Below are 13,505 nucleotides of genomic sequence, written 5' to 3' on the forward strand. Positions count from 1 at the left end.
CACGTGTAGCAGTAGTTGTCTGGCAAAGGCTACTAATGTTAACTTTCCCCATAGCTTGCTCTAAAAATCATGTAAAGCATTTTCCTGTTTTCTTTTGGAAAATGTCTATACTACATCCTGACATTTAAGCTGCAGCCCTAATGGGAGTGACTAATGGGAGCTGTTGGTTCTTGGCTATTTCGAAAGTAAGCCAACTTAATCTAGTAATATCTTTTTTAAGGCTCTCAGGAAAAGGAAAAAAAATGACAATTAAGCAACACAAGCAACTAGTGTACTTTCCTTAAGCATTCTTAGTAAAACAAATGTGTAAGTGTTTTTAAAGTTTTGAAGGTCTGGTTTAAATAAAACATTTAACCCTTTGAGAGCCAGGGCTGTAATATGTATTTACAGAAGTACAGGATTGGGGTGGGGTCTACTATGTAGCCGCCAATATTTTGGCATTTCAGTGCATACACAAATCTCTGGTTTATAAGATTGGGAGCAGTTACACAGACAGTGGGAGAGACAAAACAAAAAGCAGTGCTTGGATCGTGCTTGGAAAATATTTTTGGATTCAAGATGAGCCAAAACCATGGGAACTGGCCTATATCTTAGGGTTTAGAAGAGATCCAAATAGGCCTACCACGTAGTAGAAATATGAATAGAACCAGACTGCAACTAGGCAACCAGGGTTCTCGCCTCACCTCGATAGAAACTAGCTTTGCAATGAACTATGTTACAACTCTGGGCCTTACTTTCCCCACTTTTAAACTTATAAACAGGATTGGACTTCTAAAGGCCTTTCTTTTTTGCTTGTGAGATGGAGTCTTACTCTGTTGCCCAGGCTGGAGTGTAGTGGTGTGATCTCAGCTCACTGCAACCTCCGCTTCCCAGGTTGAAGCGATTCTCTTGCCTTAGCCTCCTGAGTAGCTGGGATTACAGGCACCTGCCATCATTCCTGGCTAATTTTTTGTATTTTTAGTAACGATGAGGTTTCACCATGTTGACCAGGCTGGTCTTGAATGACTGGCCTCAAGTGATCCACCTGCGCTGGCCTCCCAAAGTGCTGGGATTACAGGCATGAGCCACTGTGCCGGCTCTCTAAAGGCCTTTCTAGTGCTGACATTCAACAGCACTAAATCACCTCAAAGGGATGATCAGATGCCCATATTCTCCTTATTGGTTGGTTTCCTGGAGGTCTATAGACGGGAGGGCTCCCGCTGCATTTGTAGCTTGACCTTTCCGGGCTGTCGCCCACAATTCTGTTAAGGGCAGAGTGATGTGGAGACGATAAACGCTCATGACCACACCAGGACTTCTAAAGGTTCAGAGCACTTAGAAAATTTTCCTGGTTGCCATTTATCTGGATTTGTTCCTACAATTCCATGAGAAAGCAGTAGTTCCAGGCCATGCTTAGAAAGGAGCTTTGTGTGGATATGTGAGCTCATTCTTCTAATAGTGATGATAGTAAGAGGAGTAGAAGGAGGAAGAAGAGCAGCTGACAGTTACTGAATGTGTGCTATCTGCTTGGGCCCTATGCTAATGGCGTTGCCTGTACTATCTCATTCAATCCTCTCAGCCACAGTGTAAGGAAAGATCATCCTAGGAAAGAAACCAGGTCTCAGAAAAGTTACGTAACTTGTCCAAGGAGACGGAATTGAAATTCAGGTCTGACTGATTTGAAAGTTTTTTCTTTTAACTACAAGATAATACTGCCTGAGTGGGTGAATTGAATGATTGAATTGAATTGAATGATATGAATAAAAATTCTCTGAAAAGGAATTTGGAGGAGATACTTTATTCCAGTAACAATCTGCAAACTGGGAAGATGCAGCTTTTGGTGTAACATGAAGGTGGTTCCAGAGCACAAAGAGAAGCTTCAGATTTGATATAGCAAAAGGTCCTACTCAGGTTCCCAGTGAGGACCATTTTTGCAAATGAAGTATTCAAACTTGTTCTGACTGGTCAACACAATTGAGTCCTGATTGGTCAATACAGCTGAGCCCTGATTGGCCAGGGTAGATGAGCTCTGATTGGTTGGTTTCCAAGCTCAAAACCAGAAGTCTCTGTCAGATGCTTTTGTCAAAGGGCCAGGAGGGACCAAGTGTCTGGCCACAGTTTATCTTGGCACCTACAACGGAAACTGGTTTGGCTTGATTGTAGACAGGGAGGTCCTGTGATACATTTACATCTTTCTAAGAACACAAAGTACATGACCAGTCCTTCACCCAGCCACAGCTGCCTGGTTCTGTTTTAACTCACTTCAGTTAGTCATGGGGAATCCATGGGTAATCCATGCTTTCTGTCAGCCAGGGCATACAGGGAATTACATCTTGCCTGGAAATGATCTAGACATTTAATGAACACCCATCATTTAATTTAGCTTAGCAAAACATCTGACACAGACAGGATACCTTGTAGGTGCCAAAATAACCTGTGGCCAGAAACCCTGCCCCCATCAACCCTTTGAAAGAAGCATCTGACAGAGACTTCTGGTTTGGGGGTTGGAAACCAACCATTCAGAGCTCACCTGTCCCCACCGCCAATCAGGGCTCAGCTATATTGACAAATCAGGACTCAACTGTGTCAACCAGTCAGAACTAAGCAATTTTGAATACTTCATTTGCATAAATGAACCTGATTGGGAACCTGGGCATGACCTTTTGCTCTAAAATCTGAATCTTCTCTTTGTTTTCTGGAACACACCTTTGTTTCACACTGAAACTATATTTTCTCAGTTTGCAAACTGTTCACTGGTATAAAGTCTCTTTTCTTCAAATTCCTTTTCAGAGAACTTTCGTCACATTGTATTTTAGGACTCCACTGCTCTGTACACTGAAATAATTTTGAAGGAGGTGAGATCAGAAACATGTACTTCTTATTGATCAAGAAAACCATGGCTTTGTATCTATTTGAGAAAGCAAACGTGTTTTAAAAAAAAATGGAGGCTGGGATGAGATTGCAGACATGGTTGACACCCTTACTTCCTGTTGGGTAGCAATGAATCTCCAACTTTTCGTCTCTCTCAAGAAGTAAAAGTTCCTCAAGTTTTTCCTTTAGTTTTTAAAAGGAAAAACAAAAACAAAAAAACACAAAACATTGTGCTGTATTCCAACCTTTCCCAATGGACTTGTCTTTGTCTTTGAACAGCTTCCATAATACCATTGAGGTCGCAAAGGTGTGTGATTTAGACTCTTTCCAGTGTTTTGGAGCTTGAAAGAAAGTGGTTGTTTGAATAAATTATGTTCTTGTGGACTATTGTAAACTAGGAGTACAAATGAGCCAACAATGGCATAGCAAGGAGTGAATGGGTTACTGTCTTTTGAAGAGAAAAGATGTATTCAGATTTCCAGTCAATTCTCGAGGAATGTATTTCTGAACTATTAAATTGAACCACATACAATTGCCATTTTGTAGGTTAAACATGGCCAAATAACAGCAAATTCATATGCTTCAATTAATATATGAATTACCTTGTTCCCCTAAAGGTTTGTAGGACTCTAGTAGACTGATGCTCTATAATTTTTAGTGTATTTCCCATCCTCAACCCCACACGTTTATTCTCTGAACCAGGAAGGCAATTAATGCAAAATAAAACCCTAAAGTATTTAAAAGAGAAAGACTGTATGAATTATCCTGTTTAGTATTCCTAGATAATGCAAAAAGGAAGATGTTTGAATTTAGTGTAACTCTAAACGTTTTGTCCCTGAATTTCATTCAATGTTCACGTGCAAAAATATCCAACTTTTATCTACTACAAGTAGCGAAAGCAAAAGGTACTAAATAGAGCTACATTTTTTAAAGCTCCAAATTTAAATACAAGTAGAAACAGAATTCATGTCAGCTAAAGACCAAATTATTACTTATTAACTAATACATATGCCCAGTGGATTTGGTTTATGTGTTTGGGCTTACATCACACCTTTCTCTCCTGCAAGGTTTTCTATAACTTAGCCAAGGTAGTTTCTGGAGCAAATGGGACATTCATGGGAATGACAAAATAGTGCAGAAAATGTCATTAGCAGTTCGTTATGAGACAGACAAATTCATTCTGATTTTGTCAGTGTTCACAGTAAAAAAATGGCAACAAAGCTACCAAAGGTACCTGAGACATTTCCTCCTGGAAGGAGTGTCTTGCAGTGGTCATTTCCTTCTACTTCATTCTTCTCTTAAACCCCTCATCATTTTTTATCTTCTACGTAAAGCACCTAAAGATGTGGATTCTCAAACTTCTTTAAGAGCCAGTTAAAGGTAAATTAAATGTTGTTGCTCAACTTTCAAGGCTAGAGTCAAATTTGGTTCCAGGTAATTTCATATTACAATACTCATGCTGTACCAATAATAGATGCCAGATGAAACTGAATATGCATGTTAAGTTTTAAAGAACGCCTTGAGGCAAATACTTTTCTTACTCCATGCAGCTAATTTCTGATTGGCAAAGAACAGCACTAAGATCAGTCACAATATTTCCTTGTTTACTTATTCCTTGGATAAAAAATTTAAGCGCATAAATTCTTAAACCATGTATTAAATTAATCTCTAAGAGTCTTGGAAACATTTCTGTGCCTGTTTTGGCAGTGTATCAAAAGGGAGTTCATGCTAAATACTTTGTTAAATCTATCCACTTCTCCAGTGAATAAACTGTATACCATTTTAAGAGATAAGGTTTAGATTATTTTTGAAAATGCCTTTTGGCCTGGGGTATGCCCGCTATTACCTTTGCTTAAAAACTTGGGTTCAGGAAATTTCTACCTTAGAGAAGTAAGATTCTCTAAAAGAATGTTTCACTTCCTCATGGATACTTTATGGGGGCATTAGCATGAAGTGAAGAAATTCTTTGAAGTTTCCAGAAAGATGGGTCCCAGGAAGCTTAGAATTTATGCATAAGTAAATGACTTTATGTCCTTCTATTTGAATGTAACTTCAAATCATAATCATCAGTTGAACACATGTTGACTTTGCTTCACAGATTTGCCAGCATTCCTTTATTTTCCTGTGTGTCTGGCTCTCTATTATTACTTCAATACAGGTTCCCATAGACAAAGCCCCCAGCCCCTCCCGCAAATACAACAGGCGTTGTGGTCTCATAAAATTTTCAGTCAGAAAAATACCCCAAAATAAGCTTTATTGCAAGAAAAGTGTCATATTTGATACACAGACCTACAAAAACAAACAAAACCAAAAACCATAAGTTTTTCCTCACAAACTCTTGATTACAAATTTACACTGTTCCTTTTTTCTTTTTAGTTATTAAAAAAACAATAAAACCTCAAAATACTGGGTATAACTGGTTACTAATCTTTGGTCAGCACAGGTTTGAGAGGAACAACCAGGAGCCTGCATGTGCTTTGGCCATTTCACATATGAGGTTTGGTCACTGGTCCAGGAAACAGGTTCTTGGGTTGAGAAGAATAATGGATACGTGCTCTTAATAGCACATCCTGGTACAATATCTTTTTAAATGACTAAAGCAAACTAAACATCAATTCATTGTACAAACATCTTTCATACACAATAGGCTATGATAAAATGAGGCATATGGTGTATAACTACAGTATTAATGAAAATTCTAAAAAAAAAATGGGTTTAAAACAACAACAACAACATATATTCCTTGGCTGCATTGCATGATTTGTTTGCACATATGGCAATCCTGAAATAACTTGAACATAATAAATGCACCATTATTTAAGACAGCACGAAACACCACAGAATGCCAGGTGTTCCCTTTCAAGGGAACGGCGGTTCTTCAGCTGCCTACAGTACCATGAGGACGCAGCGCACCCTGGGTAAGAATGAGGTGTTGTGGGTAGCACATATGGTTCCTTGAGGTTATGAGAAGGAAATACAGTACGGTTTGGCCTGCAATGCTAATGGTCTCACAAGCAGTCAAGGTATTTTGCTACAGTGGTTGTGCTTCAACTTCTGTTGCCTGGTGTGTCTGGTGATATGAAATGTTGTCACAAATGAGCTGCTTTGGCTTCGATCTACGTTATAAAGGATCTAATGACATTCATGTTTTTTAAATTATTGATTACACTGCCCATTCAGCTCTGTGTGGCTTTCTTTAAAATCATCAGGTGTGTATCAGCTGGATGACTGGCAGAAAACCAAAGGAAACATCTCTTGTATCTATTGGATTTTTAAAAAGCACCTCTAAAAAAAATAGCTCAAATTTATAAATCTAAAGAAAAACAAGTGAGTTTCCCTTTTTGTTTACATAGTTTGTTCATTTCTCCATATATTACTGCATTAAAAATAAATAAACATCTATATTTTTTTAATTAGCAACTATAGCAAAATACCCAAAGTGTTACAGACTGCTAACAGGAAAAAAAAAAAAAGCTCACATTATTTTTGTGCATTTAGTGCCATATGCTGATATCTTGAACATTTAGGTTTCTTTTAATATATTTTAAAATGAAGTTATATAAAAAATACAGTAACCACGGTTGCCTTTGTGCTCAAATCTTTGGCCATACCAGAGTCTAAATTATCCCTCCCTGTGAGGGTCAACATTCAAAGTCTAAGACAGGGAGGAAAGAAACAAGAGTTATTATTATTTTTCCTCTTTAAAATTAGTCCTTGACTTTTCAAATGCTTCTGCAGACTGGCTGTGCTAGGATTTGAGCCTGGGCCCAAGTCTGTGAAGGGTTAATAGAGCTGAATCTGCAGCCTCATTCTGAGAGCCTCCCCAAGCTCCCCTAGGAGGTAGTCATCCTCATTGCTCTCTTCCAGTTTCTTAAGCTCCTTCTTCTTGTAGAGAGGGATGCTAGTGATTTCCAGTGTGTATGTGCCGGGCATGAGCTTCTTCTTGGCCGTGTGCAAGTAGCTGAGCCCATTCCTTTGGTGGATGCGGAAGACGCTGTCATCGTTCCCTTGAGAGATGACATAACGGATGTGGTTGTTGAGGGGCTGGATGGCGGGCCTTAGTTCCAGGATGTGCTCCTTAGAGCCGAGGTGGGAGAGGTTGAACTTCATGTTGACGGGGCTGTCCATGTCGACACTCTCTAGGCTGATCTGTTCAACCTGGAGGAAGAACAGGAAATGATTTGGGACAAGCTTCTACAGCACAAGCAGAGGACTAGAAAGAGATCAGCTGCAGGGGCTTTGGTCACGAGGACAGGCTGTGGCTTCCCACTCCCGCTTTCTGCACTCTCCTTACCAGCAGTGGCTGTGAAAGAGGCTATTGTACATTTTTGTCAGTTGGAAGAAAAGGCCAATTCCATCGAGAATACCCTGTAAATCTTTAGGACTTCTCACTCAGCCTTAACAAGGTAATTAAAGGTACAGGACTGGGCTTACAGAGTGTTCCCATTTCAAGTTTTTTTTGATGAGTTTATGAAATATTGTGCTAATTAATAATTTTTAAAAACTAAAATTTAGGTAATGATTTTTTTTTTTCTGGAGTCAAAATAAGAAGTACTGCTGTTGGGCATCAGCAGGGAATGCGCCCAGGGGAATCTTCTGTCTGAAAGCTGGGCTTTGATTTGTAAGGTAAGTGAATGATGAGTGAGTTTACTGGGAGCTATCAGAGGTACACAGAGTGAGTGATCTGCAGAGTTCTCAGGGCTCCAGTTCAAACCAGCATCTTTGGTAAAAGCCAGTGGGGCAGGGCCCAGATAAACCAAGTCTGACTTTTGCTCAGAGGGTTGGGAGGAGCACAAATATATCAAAGTAAGATAGGATAAAAACCACAATGCTTTGATTGGGCATCTGTTAAGTGAGGACTTGGCAGTGGTGACCCAGAAGTGCCCATCAGTGTTCAGGCAGAATTATGTCCTAGTACCCCAATGGGAAAGTTTATAAGCAGAACTTCTGGATTTGTAGTTTGGGAACTTGATGAATATCTCAACTGTCAAACATCAGTTGGGTATCTTAGTCTACTTAAGGTAAATGTAACACTGGCTTATTTATTATTATAAAATAGCATCATGAACTTTTTGGCTAGACAAGTCAGGTCATATAGACAAAGATTCTGAGGCCCAAAAAACTGAAGCAAGTTGTCCAATTCACACAGCCAGCCAGTTGTTGATTAGGTTTTTTGGTGGGGTAATTTCTCAGTCATATTAACTGCAGAGAGTGGTGAGTGACGACCTCATACTGTCTCAGATCTTTGGGAAAATCATCAAGATCTCTAGATATGAGATATTAATCATTCATAGGAACTGAACACATGTGATATATATGTCAGGCATTGTTCCAGGCAGTTCACATGTTTCAATTCAATTAACCCTTCCATCAGCCTTCAGAGGTATTATTATTCCCATCTTACAGGTGAAAAAACTGAGGTTGAGAGAAGTTAAATAAACACAAACTATGTAACAGAGGTAACAGATAGGGAGGGCCAGGGAGTTACGTTCAAAACCAGGTAGTCTGCAGCCCACCCCTTTAAACACTGCCAAAATGCAATTAGGGAAAGGAAATATCAGTGGCTCGCAATTTCCAACTTCAGTTCCTTAAAGAATACAAGTGATTTGGAAGACAAAACTTCTTAATGAAGGAACAACTGTCTTAAAAATAAAACAAAGAATATGAGACCTACTTGGTTTCCCTAGTGAAAATTAAAATCAGCCTTGTATGCTATACATTTATAAAACAGAACTGAACAAATTAAAAATAATTTCATTTTTTGAATCATGTAAAAATAGCTCTTCCCGAGATGGACATACCCTCCCACATAAATCAAAAACTACAACAAGAGAAAATGCTCTGAAACTGTGAATCTTAAAGTCTTTTCTCCCAAGCTTTGTGTTTTGATCTAATAATTCAATCACTTTAATTTACTTGTCTTTTCCATACTGGGTCCATTAATTTATCCATTAAATTCAAGGTATGATTAACTTCAGTGAGGCTGAAAACGACGTGAACTGCACTGTATACATGACTCCGTAGGGATAAAATTTTGTGGCAACACAGAGTGGGATATACTCACAGCAGTGGGATCAGGTTCATGAATACTTCTCTTCTGCCTGCTGTCTTTCTTAGAATAGCCGTTGATTTTGCACTCGTAGCATGCTTCTGGGGACAGAGCATTTTCCTCATCGACCTCTGTATCCAGTGACAGGTACTGCCCCTTGTTAAATCCCATTCCTGAGACACAGTGGCTATTTGCAAAAAGCAAAGTATTGTTAGACTTTATCACTGACTTGACCATAGTTTTCCAGTGGTAGAGCAGACTCTTCAGAAACACGAAACCAACAGAGCAAACACTAAACTCATAAACATAAAACCCTAATATTCTTTGCAACTCTTTTATTTTTCTTTTAGAGACAGGGTCTTGCTCTGTTTCCCAAGCTGGAGTACAGTGGCACGATCTTGCTCACTGCAGCCTCAAACTTCTGGGCTCAAGAGCTCCTCATGCCTCAGCCTCCAAATTAGCAGGGACAACCGGCACACACCACCACATCCAACTAATTTTTTTTAATTTTCATGTTTTGTAGAGATAGGGTCTTGCTATGTTGCCCTAGCTGGTCTCCAACTTCTGCCTTCAAGCGATTCTCCTACCTCGGACTCCCAAAGTACTGGGATTGCAGGGATGAGCCACAATCCCCTATAATTCTTTAACACACAATAGATAAACTTTTCCCTTATTTTGAAACAGCAAAATTCTTCTGAGGGTGAGCCCCATGCTTTCCCAATTTTCAATCTTAGTTAGACTGAAGTACTGAGCATAATTAACTCCAGAAGGTAAAAGTAAGGTATGAATTTCCAAAGAGAATGCTAAGACAGGTTCCATTGTTTCAGGGGCCTGAAGCCTGTATTTGCTGCTTGCAACAAAGCTCCCTGCTTTAAAAACTGAGATTTCTGAACTTATATTTTGGTTAGTGAGTCAATGAATTGGCTCTAAATGACCTTTGTGTAGACCAAGCCTTTTGTTTTAACTATTATCATACACCATTGTTGGACAGACTTGGTCCATGCCTTTTAGTCCCTGCCTTGCACACTGCTCCTTTCAAAGAAGGCAACCTGGACTGACCTCTAAATGCCCATCTTCTGTGTTACTGAGCACCACGGCCTTCCTGGAAGAATGCAAATGGCCAGCACCTCTGCCACAGCCCATGGAACTTGAGACAGTGCGCCTAGTTGGAGGGAAGCCTGTCTTGTGGGTCAGGCCCGTGCTGAATGACACCACACCAACTAGGCACCATCCTCTCTCTGTGCGATAGGAAAGCCACATGAGCAAAGAAAGGGACAAACTCCTTCCTCAGTGATCACTATGCTAGCACCTTCCAGAATTTGTAGAAGAACCTGTGGCAAGGCCATTTCCACTTCTACCTCACAGCCCAGGTATCCATGGCAACGTGTGAGCCGCATTTTTAAGCATCTGTTTGTCTCTGGCCTTGGGTCAAATTGAATCAATTCAGGCCCTTAATAAGAGGAGCAAAGAGTGATATTTACATACAAGTTCAAGTTTTATGCTCATCACAAAGGAAGTAATGCTATACCCTGAGCACAGTCCGTGTGTGCTTTCTTGGTATTTATCTGCATACCCGAAGAGTTCTAATCAATGCTTTTGCGGTTTGGCTTTTAGACACTGTACTCTTCCCTGCAGTGGGGGGTGGCCTGAACTCACTCAGGAACCATGTATTCCTCTATGTGCTGAGGCTGAAGGCCGCCTTACCCTTGTCCCACTCTGTAATACCCAGGGGGGCAGCCACAGAGGTAGCCCCCCTCCGTGTTAGAGCAGCCGTAATTGCAGGGGTTCTTGGAGGACGAGCACTCATTCACGTCGTGGCAGGCACTGGAGAACTGGTCGAAGGAGAACCCCGAGGGGCAGGCGCACTTGTAACTCCCCAGGGTGTTGTAGCAGGAAGCAGAGCCACAGGCATTGGGATTGGAGCATTCATTCTCATCTAGTGAAACGAAGAAAGAAACTCTTACACGGGGAAGCAGGCAAGAGCAAAAACGTGAACAAGTCTGGAGTCTCAAGTGCCTGTGATTTTATGGCAGAAATAACTCTAACACAGTATTTTATTTTATTCTGACGACTGATTTGCAAAGCACGTGAATGAAAAAAATTCCCCTAAATTGTGGCTTTAAAAAACCCTTGCTTTGCTCTTTTCTGTTTGTACTGTTTCTAAATATGTCTGCAGCCCTTGGGAACAGATATTTGCAGTTTGCCTAGTGAATAACTCTTCTATTCTCTTAACAGAAGGTTACTTCAAAAGCTTATATCTCGGGCAAATCCTTAGAGATAGAGAGAAAATTAGTTGCCGGGGCCTGTCGGGAGGAAGAAATGGGAAATGACCGCTCTTGGGTATGGTGTTTCTTTTGGAGGTGATGAGAATGTTCGGAAACTGGTAGTATTGATGACTGCATACCTTTGTGAGAATCTACAAAACCCATTTACATGTACACTTTAAAAGAGAGAAGTTTATGATATATCAATTAAAAAAGTCCCTATAAGTATTTGTATCCATTCCCCCAGCAATTCCCCAAACCTTCATTATACAGGAGGAGAAAGCATAAAAAAATTTATAAACCCTAAATGAAAACGATGGAAAACAACACTATTTAGTTAAATCAGTTGAACGAACAACTAGTTCAGTTTAAAATGCTTGAGAACCCATTGGGTGCAGACTGTGCTTTCTGAGGCAGGTTTGCATCCAGCCATCAGCCAGCTATAGCTTTTACTCGCTTAATGACTAACATTATACTATAAATACCTGGTAGCAGGATAATTATAGGTTATACTTTCAGTTACTATTATCATTTTTACAAAATCAAAGTCTGATTATGCTTTCAACTTTGGAGATTATAAGTTTGCCTTAACTGTCTGGTTGATATACAGCATGTGGCTTGACTTCTTTGGGCTTTTTTTATAATCCAAATTTCACCCTGGGAACAAATCACATCTGTTCCATGGAATTCTTTCAATTCTTGTGACTCCATGTGGAGCAAAGAGTGTCTGTTTACCTAATATGTGACAAGTATATATTTCAGCCCATGTGGGGAAACAGGCCCATGTGCAAGTGGGTGTGCACAGAGGACATAGTACCTAGTGGGGAAGCGAGGGATCTGCAGCAGCTCAGTGAGATTTGGAAGATGCACATGGGCTCTCAGTGAAGAGGCCTCCCAGACAGGAATTAAACTTCATTAAGTACAGGACAGAAGTTACTGAAAGGGTAGATATTATTAGGAACATTTTTGTATCATGATTCTGATAGTCTCAGAATTAAAGGAGACCACTAAATGTAGGTGTCTTAATCACTGAATATAAAAGATGCTGATTATCTAATATGTGAAAATTCTTAGCCTTTATGGCAGGGGAAGAACGTAGATACGATAAATAAATTCTCAGTAACTTGGCTACATAAGATGTAACTATAACTGCTATTTTATTTCTATATACAAGAGACTTGGAATTCTGCCATAAAGCCTCATCTGCTTTTATAATTAGATCTGACATTCCTATGCAGTGTTTCTCTCCTAACAGGGAATCTAAATTAGATTACAATTTAATAAAATGATCCTGCCATGAATATACCATTAGACATTGTGTTAGGAAGAAAAATTACCAGGCAAAAATAATTAACTGAATAAATTATATTTAAACATATCACTTACAAGAATATTTAAAAATATGTAACATTTTTGCAAGCACCATGATATACCTCATATTTATATTCTATAAATGTATATCATGATTAAAATTTATAGACTTAAATAAATATGTTCCTGTCTGACACATACTTTGAACTGATTCAAGCCTCACTCAACTATGTGTGAATTATTGTGAACAGGCTACAGAAGCAACTGGAAGTTACTAAAACACAAAGTCTTCATATATGAAGACATAATTTTTCTTCATATGCAAATGTTAGTATTTACATATTTCCAATTTTGAATAATTGTATTTGAATAATTCTAATGCTTACAAATAGTTGAGAATGTTCCCTACATCTGTACACTCTATCTACCAGAACGTTGTAAATTCTTTGTGACAACTGGCAGAAAACTTCCTAAAGTGTTAGTTTGAACTGAAAGCTTTTTTCAATATTAACACTTTCAAAGAACTTTCATTCTTCTTCAATTGGTAGCAGGTTTAGTAACATCGTAGGTTTACAGTTTTGCCTGTTTAAACTGTCTGATGCATTGACTAACAGTGTTGACCACTGACGAGGATTCCGGGGGAAATCTGTCTGAAATGCTTCCTTCTGTATTCCCCCATCAATCATATGAATGGCTGAAGATATTCACACAAGTAGTGACAGATAAAAAATGTTGGTGGCTTTTCAATTTGCGTTTTGTCCTAATTCTTTTGCTAACTTGTTGCTTTTATTAGTTTCCTGAAGGGGTATTTCACCCAATTTCTGCCATATGTTTGAGTTAAAAATCTAATGGCGTTACATGAATTCAAGGGAAGAAAGTCAGCAATTTTATTAGAGACAAGCTGGATTCCTCAACCCTGCCCAGAAGAATCTAGAATCTTTTGAAATAAATCCCTGATGTGTCGTACCCAGGCACCTGCTGCTTAGAGGTACTCATTTTAGTAGAATAAGCTTACAAATTAATACCTGCAA

The 13,505-nt window shown here is 39.4% G+C and overlaps 1 protein-coding gene across 2 annotated transcripts in view; it reads right to left on the bottom strand.

Moving 5' to 3' along the window:
* FBN2 (fibrillin 2) overlaps positions 5,088-13,505 on the bottom strand; it is a 280,337-nt gene continuing 271,919 nt past the window's right edge. For both annotated transcript variants that reach the window (XM_017009228.3, NM_001999.4), the window contains 3 exons: positions 10,604-10,835; positions 8,915-9,086; positions 5,088-7,008 (listed from right to left, as the gene is read on the bottom strand). In XM_017009228.3, the coding sequence (XP_016864717.1) occupies positions 6,634-7,008; positions 8,915-9,086; positions 10,604-10,835 (779 nt within the window). In that variant the 3' untranslated portion in view covers positions 5,088-6,633. The remainder of the gene's footprint in view (positions 7,009-8,914; positions 9,087-10,603; positions 10,836-13,505) is intronic.

Source organism: Homo sapiens, chromosome 5 (genome assembly GCF_000001405.40).
Source record: "Homo sapiens chromosome 5, GRCh38.p14 Primary Assembly".
NCBI lineage: Eukaryota > Metazoa > Chordata > Mammalia > Primates > Hominidae > Homo > Homo sapiens.